We start from the raw sequence: 17,329 nt of genomic DNA on the forward strand, positions 1-17,329 counted from the left end.
CCCATTTCTGTTGGACAGTGTTGCACGAGGCTGTGGTCGCTCACCCACTCTTCTTCCAGAGAGTCTTGCAAGGGAGGCAGAGCAGGCAGCAGGATGCCCACTCCACCAGCAGGGAAACTGAGCCCCATTCATTCATTGATCTATCCATTCTTTCATTGCTCACTAGGTATTTACTGAGCCTACTGTGTGCCAAGCACTGGGACCACAGTGAGGAGCAAAGCAGGTATGGGCCGGTCGTAGGAAGGAAAGCTGATCTGCAAGAGAGCGAATAGCTAGTAGGGAACATGGGACCAGCACCTCAAACTCCACTTGCCACGTCCAGAGCCCTTTTGCCTATACCTCTGTGGTATCGGGAAGGTAGAAAGGTGACCAGTGTCAGAATCAAATCACAAACACTAAGGAAAAATTCCACCCCCTTCACGTTCCTTCCCTGTGGCTTTCAGGTCTCCTTAGTGGAAACAGAGCGGATTGTGGAATCCTACAGATCCAGGTTCTAGTTCCAGCCCAGCCATGTTAGGAATTCAGCTTCCTCAACTGGAAAACGGGGGCAATAATAATTCCTACCAGGGGATTGTAATGAAGAAAAGTGAGATAACCTAGATCCTGGCACGTGGCCAGCATTCAGTAGATGTCCTTTCCCTGATTTAATAGGTCTAGATGAGGTTTCTGTTAATCCTGATTCCTACTTTAAGATTCATGGTCAAGGTCAATGTTGTATATTTCTTCTTTTCTAAATGTTGTTCTCTGCAGTTGTTTTAACCATAAAAAAGTCAAGCTGGGTCTGTGCACTAAGTTACTTTGGGTGGGCCTTAGTCCACACTTTGACAGGCATCTGAAAAGATGTTTGCAAATTGAAATGCCCTCCAAGTAGGACACTGGGTAACCTGGGCCCCGTCGCAGACTGAGTCTCACAGCCTCCACCAAGGTCCACACCCACACAGCAATGTCATCGCGCATTTGCTGCTAATCTCCTTCACCACCATGAGCACTTGAGGACAATCATTGTGTGCTTTCCTCGGCGTCTCCAGCCCCAGCACCAACACATAGACTGATGAATGTTGAATGCACGCTAGATGGGGAGGAGGGAGAAGGTGGCGTCTTCTAACCAGCAAATGGAGCCAGCTATCATGGTTACTTGAGCAGGTCCAGGCACTTCCTCGGTCTCTTACAAACCAGTTTAGCATCAGAGAAATACCTTCCATTGTCCTGACTGGCATCTCCAGTAAGTTTTCCATAAAAAAATCAGGAGGTCCAGTTAAATTTGACTTTCAGATAAACCATCAAACACTTCTCAGCACAGTATGTGATATTTGGGACACATACTAAAAAAAAATCATTCTGTATCTAAAGTTCAAATGTAACTAGGCATCCTGTTTTTTTTTTTTTAATTTCCTAAACCTGACAAGCCTAATCTCCAGCTTTAGCTGGTACTCTCAAAATTGTGCATTGCTGATCACCAGCAGCACCAGCAGTAAGGTGTGGATGGTCAGTGGTTACCAGTTATCCCCCTGGAATGGAGCCCCAGCACCCAGCTTACAGAACCTGGGGTGGAAGTCAGGGGAGGAGAAGGCCAAGGGGACTGGAATAAACAGAATTAGAATGACAACCTCATAATCATTCATGACATGTGGTAGGCAGAATAAGGCCTTCCAAAGCTGTCTACAGCTTGGCCTCTACAATCTGTGAATCTGTTACCTTAATGTAAGATTCTGCAAGTGTGGTTAAATTAAGGATCTTAATTAGGTGAAAGAAGGACTCTGCAGGTGTGGTTAAATGAAGGATCTTGGAGATGAGGAGATTCTCCTGGATTATCTGGGTGGGCTCAATGTCAACACCAGGTCCGTGTAAGGCAAAGAGGTGGAAGGAAGTTAGGGTCAGAAGGAGGAGATGTGCTGACCGGAGCAGAGGTCTGTGATGCAGCAGAGAGAATGTGGCATGAGAATGACACACTGGCCATTACTGGCTTTGACCATGGAAGGGGACCATGAGCCAAGGAATTCAGGCAGCTCCTAGAAGCTGGAAAAGGCAAAGAAATAGATTCTCCCTTAGAACCTCAAGAAGGAATGCAGCCCTGCCATCCCCTTGATTTTATCCCAGTGAGACCCATGTTAGACTTCTGACCTCCACAACTGTAGGATAATAAGTGTGCATTGTTTTAAGCCACCAAGCCTGTGGTAAATTGCTACAGCAGGAATAGGAAACCAGTCCATCACAATAGCCAGAAGAAATTGTCGCATCGGTTTTTCCAGAAAGAATAACCACTTCAAAGATTCCTTCCCTAGCAAAGACAATGAACGGGACTAAACACTACACTCGGTGTATTGACTTGCACTATTCCATTTTCTCCTGATGACAGCCTTGCAATCACCTGGCAGCATTGTCTCTCCAGGTAGAGAGACTGGAGCTTGTGCAACAGAAGCTGTGCAACTGGAGAAATCATGCAACTTGCTTGAGGCCACCCAGCCGGTGTCACTGCTGCCAAGTCAGACAGGGGCCACCCCAGGCTGGGAGACACCAGGCATGTGCAGGCTGGGCCAGGGTGGGATTGGGGCTGTGAATTTCCAGGCATCTCAACTAAGGCTGTCATATCTTCCCTGTGCAATCAGAAGCTGACCTGCTTTCAAAATACAAGTGCTATGGCCTGGCTTTTTTTTTCTTTTTTTTCTTTTTTTTTTTGGCTTGAGAAAGAAGCAACTCAGTTTTGTCTCCAATCCTTCAGCGCCATCATGATTCTCCTCTGCTGCTGTTTGGGTTTTGCTCTTCCCCGATACCTCAAAATAGGAAAAAATAACAGCCCCACCCCTTGTTTGTCACCTGCCAGCTTTTAAGTGCCTCCACAGCCGTCCTTTCTTTGGGGCTTCACAACAATTGCTTAGGTACAATGGGCAGATGTCCTTCTTCCTATTTTACAGAGAGGAAAACTGAAGCTTCAGTAAGGACGAATGGCTGCCTGCTCTGGGTGACAGTGCAGAAGTGGGTTCTTTTGACACCCAGGCTGTTCACGTAGAACCTGGGAGAAGGTCTAAGATGGGGCAGAAGAGGAGAATGGAAGCAAGGGAGGGACTGGGATTTCTGTGCTGGCTCAGCCAGGAGTCCTAGGAGAGGAGGGAAGAGGAGAAAGCAGGCTCTGGGCAAGCACAAGTTGTAGGGGGGCTGGGGAAGTGGGGTCACTGATTAAGGGGCCACAGCAGCAGAGGACTGAATGTCTCTACTCAAGGGCTGCTGCTGTGCTCCTGGGCGCCCAGGCCCAATGCAGTGGGGAGCAGCCATGCTTCCCTCTTAGGGTGTGGTCTTCAGGGCTTTCAGGGGCCTGACAGCAGAGAAGGAGGACCTGCCCGTTCAAAGGAGGGTTGGAAGCTGGCTCTTCTGGGGCCAGGAAAGCTCGGTCTGCCCATGCCATTCTGGGCCTGGTTCCATCAGGACCCTACAGAGCAGCAGGTCCCCAGGGCAACACGGAAATTTGTTCCCAGAGTGCCACCCCTTATTCTCCTCCCAACCCCGATCATGTGGGGGTAAGCATGTAGTCTAGGGGCACTGATGTTCCAGGAGCTGAACACCTGGGTTGCCTCTCTGGCCCACATCAAGGAATAGTAGCAATGTTGTAGAAAGAGTTTGAGCTTAGGAATTAGGCCGACTGAATTAGATCCCCGATCTGCCACTTAACTACCTGCATGATCCTGAGAAGCCCTGCCCAGCCCTGATCCAAATCTAACTCACAGGGTTATTTGGGGAATTAAATGACATTATGTAAGTCAAGTACCTTACACAGTTCTTGGTACACAGTAGGTGATCAATTAATGATAGCTGCTATCCAAATATTTGCTGTTATTCCATGCTCAGTTTCACTACCGTGTAGTTTGCCCTTGTAAACTTATTAGATCTAATTTCCAAGTACAGAACTTTCTATCGTGTGGAAGCCAAGGCTGAGCCTGCTCCTGATCAGTTGGGAACTCTGCTGGGGGCTCACACCCAGCTCTGAAATGCATCGCTGCCTTTTCTCTGCAGGGAGCCTTGTTTGGTGGTAAGCTTCCATATGGTTTTGTGTGTCTTAGGCCAGGGGGAGCAATATTTCTTCTTGTGCCTAAAAGTGGAAACAAACTGCTAATTCATACCCTTGAAAAAATTGGCTGCAAAGCCCGCTTTATTGATAGAGCCATCGGACACAAACTTCATCCACAGTCTGTTGGAGCTCGATTTCACATCCTCCGGCTTCTCATAGCCACAAAAGTGGCCGATCAGGGCACTCTCTTCCGTGGGGCCATCCCGGACTTCCAGGTAGTCATATGCACAGCTGTCGTGCCTTTCAATCTAAAGGAAGAAACAGAGGCAAGGTGGATGGCAGATGGTTCTGCTTTAAGGTTTTTGATTTAAGAAGAGAACCCAAATATCACTCTCAAAATCTAACCAAGAGGCCAAAGGACCCAAGTGTGTCCCAGGTCTCTCCATGCTGCTTCCTAGTTCACTCCTTACTTGCAGAAGTCAAGGGTGAATCAAACTGAGAAGAGTCTAAGAGGATAAATAGAGAAGAACAATTCTACCAAACTTCCCTGGATCCCATCCTGAATTTTCACTTTGATTATTATTCTCAACCTCTCTTACTGCCCTCAGAAAGGTGTCAAACCCCATTTCAAAGCCTGCATAGATGTTGATGTCAGATGTCCGGGCACAATTCACTATGGGCTTGAGAATAGCCTCTTAGGTTCCTGTTTTTAGCCAAAAATGAAAACCCATCTTTACAGAGTGGAGGATGTCTAGCAAAAGTTGCCGTTTCCTTGGGAAGCCGGTCTGAGCAGCACTCACCTCAAAAGCTTGGAAGGTAAGTCCCACGTGAAACCCCTCTGAAACCGTAATCCTCCAGACACATTCCTTGGAAGGTCTGTAGTCATCCGGATAGTTGGGAGATTGAATCTGACCGGCATCTTTGTTCATGTCTCCCCCGCAGGTAGCTTTAGAAAGAGACATCAGGAGAGGAAGACGGGGGCCCTGGTCAGATCTTACTTAGGAAGGAAGGTTGGGGAGGCGGGGGGAACAGCGCTTGCCACCACTAGGTGGCTCCGCTCACCAACATTTTCATCTCCAGCCCACAAACACCGCGCCTCCAGAAAGGCACGATTGCATTTGTCTTTAACTCTGAATTTTTTTCATATAAAGAAAAAACCACATAAAGCAGTGGTTCTCTAACTTCGCTGTGCATCAAAATCGCCTGAGGGAGTTTGCAAACTGTGGAAGCTGGGGCCACACTCCCCAGAGGTTCTGATTCCAGTGGGTGTTGGGGAGCGCTGCGTAGCCGTGAAGTTCCCCAGGTGATTCAAGGTAGAGAGTACAGGACCGCTGGTAGGAAAGGACCCGTGCGCGCACACGTGCACACATGCGCACACATGCACATTACTTATTTTACAAAGACAAAACTTTGGCCTCTCTAAAATTGTAATAATTTAAGGCCGAAGGACCCTTGGTAATGTAAGGCCAAAGGACCCTTGGTAATTTTCTGGTAGTTTTCCCCTTTCTTTTTTTTTTTTTTTTTTTGGTAGAGGGTACGGTGGGGTGGGGAATGAGCCAGAGAAGCTCAAGACATAGAAGAAATAGAAGCACCATCACCTGGTGGCAGCTGCCTAGAGCCCAGACCTATTGGTTCCCTCTACTCAGCCACCAGGGTAGCCTCAGAGGCCCTTCTAAGAAACGCAGTTGGAAATTCCTTGATGTTGCCCAAAGTCTTCTTTTCACAAAGGAAACAAACAGAGGCCTAGAGAGGTCAGATTCTTTGCTTAGGCTCACACAGCAATTCAGAGGCTGCTATCATTTCCACAGGGTTCTAGATCCCCCCAATACCGTCCTGTATGGGGGAAGCCGACTCCTCAGCTGGCCTGGAATGAGGGTTGAGTGGGATGGCGTCAGAAGGATGGCACTACTTCTGAAGTGGGCACAGCTGGCCTCTGCTTCCAGAATGTTGCAGGAGGGGCTGTGGAATCCTCAGCTTGCCCCCTGTGGTGGCTGCCCCCACCCCTGTGGCTCTGGCCTGGAGTGTCTGGGCTGGGAGAGGGACAGTGGGCTGCCTGGGAAGGACAGAGCTTATGAGGGGCCACCGAGCAGCTGCTTTCACCTCGCACAAACCTTCGTACGCTGCAAAGAAGCCCTTGCCCAAGATGTTGCTGCTGCTGCGGAACTCCACCCAGAGCCGGCTGTCCGTGGAGACGAGGGGCTCCGGGATCTTATCGCCACAAAACCTGCCTGGAAAGTGGAAAAAGAAGCAGTTAGGAGCCCTGGGGACAGCAAGAAGGCACTGGCTTCAGGCTAGGAGGAAGCTGAGGTTCTTCACACGTGGTTTGAAGTGAGCAATAACCCTGGCTGGGACAACTTATCCTGTAGCACACACAGGATCAAAAGATGGGATTGGAAGAGTCACACAATAATGTGTGACTTAATTCTTTTTCAGGCTGACTTCAGGAGAATTCCAAATTCCCATCAAAGTATCCAGAGAAGAGCCCAGGCAGCCTCTCCCCTGCCGAGGGGTGTTGCTGAGGCTCTGAAGGTGAGGCAGGGGAAGAATGGTGAGAGAATAGAGCAGATTTCCTTTCCTGGTGTTTCCTGTTGCATGTATACCCTTCCCTTTTGGGGGCATTAGACATCTGCTTTCCTTGACTTGGGAAGGGATGCCAGGGAAAACACAGCAAAGAAATAAAACCATCTTGGCGTTTACATTTCACAAGCCTAGTTGCAATAGCAAAGATTTGGAAGGATGCACCATATTTTCCCCATCCTGGTAGCCGTAGGAGGGTTCCTAGGATGGAGGAGTGACAGGACTAGCGGGAGAGCAGCAGGGAGCCCCTAAAAGGACCCATTCCCCATCTCACCTTGAGAAAGAGATCCCAGGTAGGTTTAAGAATCTAAGAGAAGCAGAAAACTGTGTCCTCAGTCCTTGGGCAGAGTCCAGAGTGGCAGCAAGACCCTGGATTCCCCTGTTGTGCCCACCCGCCAAGGTCAGCATAGAAGTGTCTATGTGATTGTCCAGACATTTGGCCCTGAGACAGGCATGCAGAGCTCTTCAGGCAAAGTGTGGCAGGATGGCAGCAACATGATTCCAGGCCCAAGAGGGGGATGGAAGTGACTTTCCCACAGCTGAGAGGATTAGGGGAGCCATAGAATGTCTCCCAAGCTTCTAGGGGAATGTAGACCTGCACCATTCTGAACTGGCCTAGGGTTGATAAAAGGAGGAAGCCCAGTAGCCTGTATCTGGATAGAGGACTCATTGGTTAGGGATGAGAACATCCCAGCAATGCCAGTCAGGGTGGCAGGATAGATGCCCCCCGCCACCACCATGCCTTGGCATAAACTATGCCCCCAACCAGGACATACAAATTGACCAAAACTGAAAACACAAATTGACCAAAATCAAGTCCCTACTACCTGATGGAAAGGGGGATCATCATAGACAAACTTTTGTTATCGAGAAAAAAAATTAATACATTTGTATTTTCTTAGACACTTGGGTGCATGGTCTGAAATCTGGAGCCTCCACAGAGGCCTGGTCTTCCCAGTACCTGGTCATTCTTGGCCATCTAATCCCTACTGCCACGTCAGGATGGCAGCCCAGGGCGAGGTGGGAGATGGGTTCATCTTTACTGAATGGTTCAGAACACAGGCCAGCCACGGTCTATTTGGACTGGAAGACCATGGTTCTACCAAGCACCTATTGCATGAGTCACTTGGAGAATGTATTTAGCTTTGGGGGGCAATGGGGAATGGGAAGTGGCTGCTAATGAATATGGGTCTTCTTTTGGAGTGATGAAAATATTCTTTTTTTTTTTTTTTTTTTTTGAGACAGAGTCTTGCTCTGTCACCCAGGCTGGAACACAATGGCGTGATCTCAGCTCACTGCAGCCTCTGCCTCCCAGGTTCAAGGGATTCTCCTGCCTCACCCTCCCAAGTAGCTGGGACTACAGGCACGTGCCACCATGCCCAGCTAATTTTTTATATTTTTAGTAGAGATGGGGTTTCACCGTGTTAGCCAGGATGGTCTCAATCTCCTGACCTCATGATCTGCCCGCCTCAGCTTCCCAAAGTGCTGGGTTTACAGGCATGAGCCACCGCGCCTGGCTGTGATGAAAATATTCTAAAATTGATTGTGGTGACACAACTCTGAGCATGCTAAAAACCATTGACTGGTATACTTTAAATGGTGAATTGTATGGTCCAGAAATTATATCTGAATATTTTTTTAAAGTCCAATTCACAGATATGTCACGGGTACTCTTACTGCCAGTGCTATGTTAGGCAGTGGACAAACCACGTGAGGCTATGAGCAGGTGAGGTTAGGGGAGGAGTAAAGGCCACTGTAGGCATCTCCTAAGGGCCAGCTGTGTTGTACATGGTTTGGGGAAACATGGGGGTAAAGGCTGTTAATCTCCTCTGCTTCCTTCCAATTCTGACCACCTGTAGCCTTTTGGAATTGGGGAGATTAATATTAAGTGAGATGAGATGAAACTCCTGCCAAGAATTTGGCAAGAAAAAATCCACCAGAAGCCTTTAAATTTTCAGTAATGGTTTCTCTGGCACGGCCAATTAGTGTCAAGTGATTTTTGGAAAATGACAGGCAAGCCTGGGGAAGTACTGCTTACCAATGAGGACACGGAGCAATTAGACAGTGCCGGTTCACAAAAGGAATTCCTTCTTAGCCTAGCCCAAGTTTCAAATCCAAGTTTCTCCTTTTAAAACCCAGCTGTCACAGCCACTGAGGCTTGTTTCCAAAAGAGAGGGAGACTTTCACTGCCTCGTCTCCTAAGGACCTAAGCAGATGAGATGAACCACGCACCACCCAAGGGCCATTAGACAGCCTGTCTCTGCTGAGTACTCGGCAGGAGGCAGGAATTGCAGCCTGAGGTATATTTTACTGCCTTGGCAAAACTAGACTTCGTAGAACAAATTACAAATTATTCCTAAGCACTCTCCCCAAATCACTTTGTCACTCTTAACTAGAATCCTCTACTTTGTCCCTTAACTGATGTCTCAGTGTTCTCATCTTCACCATAATGGTTCTAATAAAAGCCCCTTTTTTATTGACTATGTCTATGCCAGACACTGTCCTAAGCACTTTACATGGATTATCTCATTTCATCCCAATACTCTCTGAATTAGGTACTATTATTAATCCCACTTCACAGACGAGAAAACTGAGAGTCAGAGAATTTAACTCTCAAAGCTGTAAGTAAGAGCAGGATTTGAACCAGAGCAGTCTGAGACCTTCATCATCAGTATCACTTTCTTCATCATCACCACTACTACCATCAAAAAAAAAAAAAAAAAAAAAAACAAAACCTTCACTGACTGAGGCACAGTTCTGAACATTGTACAATTTTGGATAGATAGACATCAAATCTACTCTCTAGTAATGTAGATGTCATCCCCATTTCCCAGTTTGGAAACAGACAAGTAGGAATGAAGATCAAAGCCTCAAACCATAAAGCAATTCTGTGGAAATGCCAGTCTTGGCTGTTTGACTCACTGCATCATTTCTGCTCATTTGGGAGGCTGCCCCTGGCTAGGGAGCCTGAGTAGCCGGGCCACACGACACTGATCGGCCAGCCTGGCCTTTCTGAACTTCCCTCTCCCTATTTCAGGGAAAGAGGGAAAAAGGGCTTTTGTGTGCATTGTGGTGATACAGAATGCCCAAAGACAGTTCTGCATACAAAAGTGCATTGTTAGAGTAATTCCTCTAACAGAAATAAGGGAGGGAATCCAATTTACAGGACAGAATTTAAGATCACTGGATGAGCTCTCTCTGCAGCCAACTTCCTCCCCTCTTTAGGTGCAATATCATAAGTGACCCCCAAAACTGACAAACCAATTTGATATCTTTAACCAGCCATGAAATGTTCTCAATTGACTTTTCCCTTTAATCACTAGGTGAAAACCTGGGTGTCGAAAAATAGCCTCCTTCCAAGGAGACTAAGCAGGCTGGAGAGAAACTGGACTAGAGAAAAGGTGTCAGATTCCTGCACTGAAATCCGGTTCCTGGATTTAGAGGAGGAGTTTAATAAGGATATCAAGAAGAGGAAATGCAGATGAGGACACTACAAGTGGGCTCCATGGGGAGTCATAAAGGGTTCATTCATAAAAAGTTATGCGTCCATTATGCCTGGATTTTCACACACTGCCCTGGGAAAAAATGCGATGCACAGTTTTCAGAGCAAGATGCGTACTTTCACAATCCACCCTAATCCGCTCTCCCTCCTGCCAAAGGGGCATTGACCTGCCTCCTCCCAGCAGATTTCATGGCACTGACCCCTCCCAGGGACCAGCTCGGCCGACACAATGCACTTGTTCCAAACACAAAAGTTCACTAACAACTGCATTTGGAAACATCAGAGCAGGCCAAATAGTTGGCAAAGGAGAACTGCAAATGAAGAATGACGGTTACAGGCGCTGGCACTCTACACACACACACACACACACACGCACACACACAGTTAAAGTGGGTAAAATATGAGCCAAAAAAAAAAAACCTCAAAACAAAAAACAAAACAAAACAAAAACCATCACCACCACCAACAAATGGCAAAAGTCCCAATTCATTAATGAAATGTAGCCACAAATACCAGGATCTATAATGAGAAAATCTTGTTTCAAATTCAAGAAAAAGGAACTCCTGGAAATCTCTCTGCCTGTGCCCATTCTCAGGAACGTGCCTTGGCCCTCTCTGGGGAACTTCAGTAACAGACAGCTTCCTCCTCTTAAGCCTTTAAATCTATCCCATTCCTGGGAGGTGGGGGTAGAGAGTTGCCAGATTTAGCAAACAAAACTCAAGGAAGCCCAGTACATTTGAATTTCGGATAAACAACAAATAATGTATTTTATCTGGCACCCCTTGGGTTCAGCAGTCACCTCTCCCCTTCACCAGGACATCAGAATTCTGGTCTGATCTCAGCCACTAACTGTGTGGACTTTGAGTTAGTCCACACTTGGGGAGCTTGGTTTTCTCATAAAAGTGTGGGATTAAGTGACTGTAATGTCTCTGCCAGGTTGCAGGGTCTGTGATCCGATGTTCTCACGAAACTCCTCCCACATAGCTCTTTTTATTATTTCATTATAGAATGATACCTGAATGTGTTCTTACAAAAGATTCAAACAATGGAGAAGTATACAAAACAAAATTTGAAGCTGCCCACCACCTCCGCGCTTCCTTCCTCAGAGGTAATCACCTTCAGCAGTTAGATGGGCATATTTGTGGTCCTTTCTACATTTGTGGTACTAGATTTGGGCACATGCCCTTTTATATAAAGGTAAATAGGATCATTCTCTGACCCAATTTGTGGGGATTCCAATTCACGGTCTCCCAGGAATCTGTATTCATAGAAATCTTCCCAGGAGGTTCTGATGTCCAGCCAGGTTTGGGAACCTCTGCTACTGGGAATCCAGCCCTCTGTCTTTTGCCACAAGCAAACAGTGCTACCTGTAAAGCCAGACCCTCCTTCTGGCTGCTAGAGAGCGCCATGCCTGCTCATAGTAGGCAGGAAACAGAAATCCAGGCAGGCATCCTCCGCCCTGCCACTGTGGGGCGGACTCCACTGGTCCTGCAGTAGACGTGCTCCTGTCCGTACTTGGCCTGGGGATCACTTTCTTCGCTTGTCTACCTGGACAGCTGACTACCTGACTGACTTCTTCTAATGCCGGCAGCCTGGGACCCCTCAGTCATACGAAAGATTAATGTCTGCCAGGCTACCTTGAGTCCAGCCAACCCCTCTGTCCAGCCTCTTCTGACCTACCTCAGCCTTGGCTCCCCAGAATCTGGCATGAAGTCAGGGCTCGGTCTAGCAGTGACACCCCACAGTTTAGCCCTCTCCCTTCTTTCCTATCTCCATCTTGGCCAACCACCCGATACCAGCTCACTCTCAGGCTCGTCAGTTGCAGCATAACAAGTTGGGCTTTCTGCTCACATGAATATGTGCCAAGGACAAAGTCCTCACTGAGCGCTTAGACTTGTCCAAGCCAGAGCCCACCCTACAGACCCCTCTACGAGTGAGGACAATACACTCTCAGCTGAGACCCTCCCATCTGGCTCCTGGTCACTTCTGCCTGTCTCACCAGCTCCACCACGGCTGCCATTCCTGGGCTGAATGAGTCCTAGTGTCTACTCCCGAGACACTGCAGCCACTGGTCCTCTAGGCAAGGCTAACCTCCCCTGTCATCCACGAGAGATGTAGGGAAAAGAAAGAGAGATCAGACTGTTACTGTGTCTATGTAGAAAGGGAAGACATAAGAGACTCCATTTTGGAAAAGACCTGTACTTTAAACAATTGCTTTGCTGAGATGTTGTTAATTTGTAGCTTTGCCCCAGACACTTTGCCCCAGCTACTTTGACCCAACCTGGAGCTCACAAAAACATGTGTTGTATGAAATCGAGGTTTAAGGGATCTAGGGCTGCGCAGGACATGCCTTGTTAACAAAATGTTTACAAGCAGTATACTTGGTAAAAGTCATCGCCATTCTCTAGTCTCAATAAACCAAGGGCACAGTGCACCTCTGCCCTTGAAAGCGGGGTATTGTCTCCCCATGTGATAGTCTGAAATATGGCCTCGTGGGATGAGAAAGACCTGACCGTCCCCCAGCCCGACACCCGTAAAGGGTCTGTGCTGAGGTGGATTAGTAAAAGAGGAAAGCCTCTTGCAGTTGAGATAGAGGAAGACCACTGTCCCCTGCCTGCCCCTGGGAACTGAATGTCTCGGTATAAAACCCGATTGTACATTTGTTCAATTCTGAGATAGGAGAAAAACTGCCCTGTGGTGGGAGGCAAGATATGTTTGCAGCAATGCTGCCTTGTTATTCTTTACTCCACTGAGATATTTGGGTGGAGAGAAACATAAATCTGGCCTACGTGCACATCCAGGCATAGTACCTTCCCTTGAACTTAATTATGACATAGATTCTTTTGCTCACATGTTTGTTGCTGACCTTCTCCTTATTATCACCCTGCTCTCCTACTACATTCCTTTTTGCTGAAATAATGAAAATAATAATCAATAAAAACTGAGTGAACTCAGAGACCGGTGCCGATGCAGGTCCTTGGTGTGCTGAGTGCCGGTCCCCTGGGCCCACTGTTGTTTCTCTATACTTTGTCTCTGTGTCTTATTTCTTTTCTCAGTCTCTCATCCCACCTGACTAGAAATACCCACAGGTGTGGAGGGGCAGGCCACCCCTTCATCTCTGGGGTGAACTAAGCTTTCTTGTTACACCACCTGCCCACTGTGTCTCACTCAAAGCTCTAAGCTAACTTTCCATGGGTGAGTTCATGCCCTGTTCATCTCACCAAAACAATACACGCTCATCATAGAAAAACTGGAAAATATAGCTAAACCAAGAACAACAGAATACATTTAAAAAATACTCTATCACCCTGAAATAACCAGTGTGTTATTTATGTATATTTATAATTTTACTTGAGATTTATATTGCAGATCACAAAGTGGTGTCTTCTAGTTAATTCAGCCTGTACACATGTTTTAAGTCATTTTGGTTTGAATAATTTTGGACACGATATTTGGTGTTCAGTTCACCACACTCCCCCCACCACTCCTTATTTTATTACACAAATCCCATCTCCTTCATTTACATGTTATCCTTGAAGCCATCTACATTTGCAATGCCTGCATTATATATATATATATAAAATGCATAAATGTATTTTTTAATCAAAATGGAATCCTACTGCTTATTCTATTTTTGTCACATACTTTTTTGTGTGTAACAGTGTACCATGAACACCTTTCCATATCAGTAGTCAACTACAACTTCATTTTTAATGGCTGGGAAGTTTTCCATTAAAAAGATGGATCATAATTTATTCAGCCAAACCCTACTGTTGAACATTTAAATTGCTTGCAATTTTTCCTGCTTCAGTGAACATCCCTGTAGCTAGAGCTTTGCACACTTCCTTAATTAGTTCCCTAGGATGAATTCCAAAAAGTGGAATTGCTGGGTCAAAGGGTATTCGCAGTTTTAAAAGCTTTTAACATGTGTGGCCAAATGGAGTGCTCAGAGTTTTACAATGACAGAGGCCCTTGAGAGTTTCCTGTGACCGCTGTCAAGGTGGACCTTCCAGACATTAACAGCATCCCGGGGAACATCCCATCACTCCTCTCTTAACGGTGTCTAAAGTCAACTTACCCAAAAGGGGGGCTTTTCTCCAGTAACCATCCCGGACCTCCACGTAATCATACCAGCACAGTCGGCTTTTAAACAAATCCATGGATGTGAAGTTTAATACGATCTGTAAAGAATTACCATAAAGTGAGTTTTGGCAGCAAAGCCTGAGGAGTTTGGGAAGATATATCTTGCATACTGGTGTTCTCACGTTACCCTTTAGCATGCAGAACTTTCAGACCACGGTAGGAGTGTTGTCTCAAAAGCATGCTCACAGGAAACCTAAGGACATTAAATAATAAACCTTAAGCAGGATGGGGAGTAAACAGAAGGAGATGGGTCCTTCGGTTCTGTCTGGGGAATCACTTGAGCTTTTGAAGTCACTAGGTGGTTTACAGAAAGCGAGATGCATTAAAAAGACTGGCCAGGGCGCATGGAGACGGAGGATTTGGAAGGAGGTAAGGGGTCAGCGAAGTTCAGAGATACAAGAAGATCTTATAACATCATCAATCATTCCAAAGGGTCTGGGGTTAGCCCGAGTGCATCTGAACATCTCTGCGATCAACCTCCCCTCAGCCATGACCTCACTCTCCTGAGGTGTGGTGTGTCTAATGACCTTCCTACAGTTAGTCCATTCTTTCATTCACTCCACCATTGTTTGTTGACCACCTTCTGAGTGTCAGCCTGTGCTGGCCAATTGAGATAGAAAGATCAGTAAGACAGGGTCCTTTGCCCTTGGGGAGCCCAGAGAAGGGGGGAAAGGCAGATGGGCCAAGCCAATGAGAACACTATGGTATAAACACTGAAAAGAGAGGGATTGTCATGAGGAGCATCTTGGCAGCCCTGTCTGGACATCCCTGAGGTCAGGTAGTGGATGCTCCCATGGCCAAATAGGTGACTACTTAGTAGGGGGAAGGGGAGGGCTGGGTGGTCCCAGGGGCTGGGCCTCAGCACACAGGTGCTGTACCTGTGAACTGGCTCTGGTCCCCCTGCAGCCCACCAGCTCGGGGCTCCCCTGGCAGATGGCCCAGAGCAGAGTTCAGATTTCCCCTGGCCTTTCACCCCCACGCAAGTTCCACTAAACCAGGTGCCTGTGGCTCCTCCCACTGTCCTGAGGTGCAGTGGCTTGTCTGGCCCAGGCTCACCTTTCCTCATGCCCCACACACCTGCTCCATCACGTCTCCACTCTTCCTCATCTCCAGCCCTGACCCAGCCCCTGCACCCCTGACTCTATTCGTTTTCCAACCCCGGAGGACTTTGCTCTCAGCAGTTCCTCTCTCTCCAGCATCTCCACTCACTGCCCCTCCACTAGCCACTTCTTTATATTCAAACAGCCCCAGGGGCCCTCTAGCTCTAAGTAAACCCTTAGGCTGGAAGGCTTCCTCAAAGGTTCCCATTCCCTCCCCACCAAATCTAAAGGACTGTTATTTGGCCTTGTGCCCCATGACCCCTCTGCCCAGAGCTTATCCTTTCTGGTTTTCACCACACTGGCCTATCTTCTCCCCACTGCTCTTGCTCCTCTGCCCTTCCCGCTCCCTACTAGGTGAGAGCACCTCCAAACAAAGCATTTCCTTTCCAGCCTCCTCCACTGTAGGAGATGCCATTGCCCCGATGGTCAAGGAGCCAAGCTTTGGTATTATCTTTCCTTCATCCTTACTGTTGATCCCCCATATCTGTTCAGCATCCATGCTGCAGCTCTTTTTAAGATATCCGCATCCCTCCCCTCTAACCCCATCTCGCTCCTCCTGCCTCACCCCCTCCTGGATTGCTCCCACACGATTCCTGGACTCCTCCCTGCTGTGGCCCCATTTTTTCTACACACTGGGGCTTCTAGATCAATATTCCACTCATATCTCATGTTTACCAGACCCCTCCCAATCTTCCACCCATATATCATGTTGACCAAACCCCTCAGGAAACCTCAGTGGCTCTCTGTGCCCCCATCTCATGAATTAAATTCTGCTTACTTTCCACACCCCCAGAGCCTGTCCTGTGCAACCTGTTTCCCAGTGTTCCCTGACAGTCCCATGTCAGAGAAACCCTTCCCAGGCCTGCTCAAGTGTCCCCCTCCTCGAGCCTGTGTCTGATTGCCCTGATGAACACGATTGATCTTTGCCTCTTTGGAACGCCCCACCCTCTGTCTTATAATGATTCTAGAGCCGGTGTCTTTAGATCTACCTAGATCTGGATTTGCTTCTCAGCTCCATCTACTAGCTCTGGAGTCTTGGGGAAATACTTGCCCTCTAGTTTCCTCATCTGTAACACAATACACACATCACTGTGCTATTGAGGGGACTGTGCGAGAAACCATATATAGAGTGTATATTGCTATGCCTGGCACACCATAGGCACTCGATAAATAGCAACTTAAAATACCAGGTAGTCCACATTGAGTGTACACTTAGCATACCACAACTAACACTAACCACACCTCGCAAGCTGCCCATCTTGATTAGTGTTGAGTGCCCATCCCTTCCCTTGGGCCCATCCCACCCAATGTTTCGTCTCAGGACAAATCACATCTTCCACAAAGCCCTGCGATCTCCTAGGAAACGAAGTCAGTGCCAGGAAAAAACAGGTCAGCTCACCTTCTGTCATTGAGTGTGTGTGCGCGCACGCGTGGGTGCATGCATGTGTGAGCATGTGCATGCATGTGTGTGCGCACACGTGTGTGCGTGTGTGTGCATGTGTGTGCGCACGCTGTCACTCCTCTTTCAAACTAGACTGTGTTTTTCGACCCTACTTGCACATTAAAATCAACTTTGAAGCTTTGAAAAAGCTCATACCAAGCAAACACCCTTCCTTCCATTAAATCAGATTCCCTGGGAGTGGGGGGAGGGGGACCCAAAATAAACAGTCTTAAGACAGGGGTGTGCCTTAGATTTCTGTCCTATCCCACACCGTGCTCATATTCAGGTGGTAGAGCTTAGTAACACCTGTAAGCTGGTTGCACAATAATTCTTTAGCCTTTGCTTTTTTAAAATTACAGAAAGGAAATGTTAGTACAACTTCCTTGGTAACACATTCATGATCTGAATGAATGGGATAATTATTCAGGCTAATTATTTTAAGTACATTAGTGAACCATAAAGACCATAGGGGAAAGAGGTGGTGAACAAGAGGTGATACTCGAATCAATCAAGTTTGCTAATTACTTGCAGCTCTGGGGAAAGCTGGGTGAAGCAGAAATGGAAAT

The 17,329-nt window shown here is 47.4% G+C and overlaps 1 protein-coding gene across 1 annotated transcript in view, besides 1 other annotated feature; it reads right to left on the reverse strand.

The window, feature by feature from the left end:
• The window catches only part of TLL2 (tolloid like 2), a 149,319-nt gene that overhangs the window by 26,467 nt on the left and 105,523 nt on the right, over positions 1-17,329 (reverse strand). Inside the window, exons 10-13 of the mRNA NM_012465.4 lie at positions 14,158-14,260; positions 6,112-6,228; positions 4,801-4,946; positions 4,113-4,308 (exon numbers count right to left, since the gene is read on the reverse strand). Of these exons, the coding sequence (NP_036597.1) occupies positions 4,113-4,308; positions 4,801-4,946; positions 6,112-6,228; positions 14,158-14,260 (562 nt within the window). The remainder of the gene's footprint in view (positions 1-4,112; positions 4,309-4,800; positions 4,947-6,111; positions 6,229-14,157; positions 14,261-17,329) is intronic.
• Positions 6,040-6,568: an enhancer, noted in NCBI's record as "H3K27ac-H3K4me1 hESC enhancer chr10:98156871-98157399 (GRCh37/hg19 assembly coordinates)". NCBI's record gives its function as "activates a minimal SCP1, AML or CMV promoter by ChIP-STARR-seq in naive H9 embryonic stem cells {active_cell/tissue: H9 hESC(naive)}" and the evidence as "EXISTENCE:reporter gene assay evidence [ECO:0000049][PMID:30033119]".

Source organism: Homo sapiens, chromosome 10, assembly GCF_000001405.40.
Source record: "Homo sapiens chromosome 10, GRCh38.p14 Primary Assembly".
NCBI lineage: Eukaryota > Metazoa > Chordata > Mammalia > Primates > Hominidae > Homo > Homo sapiens.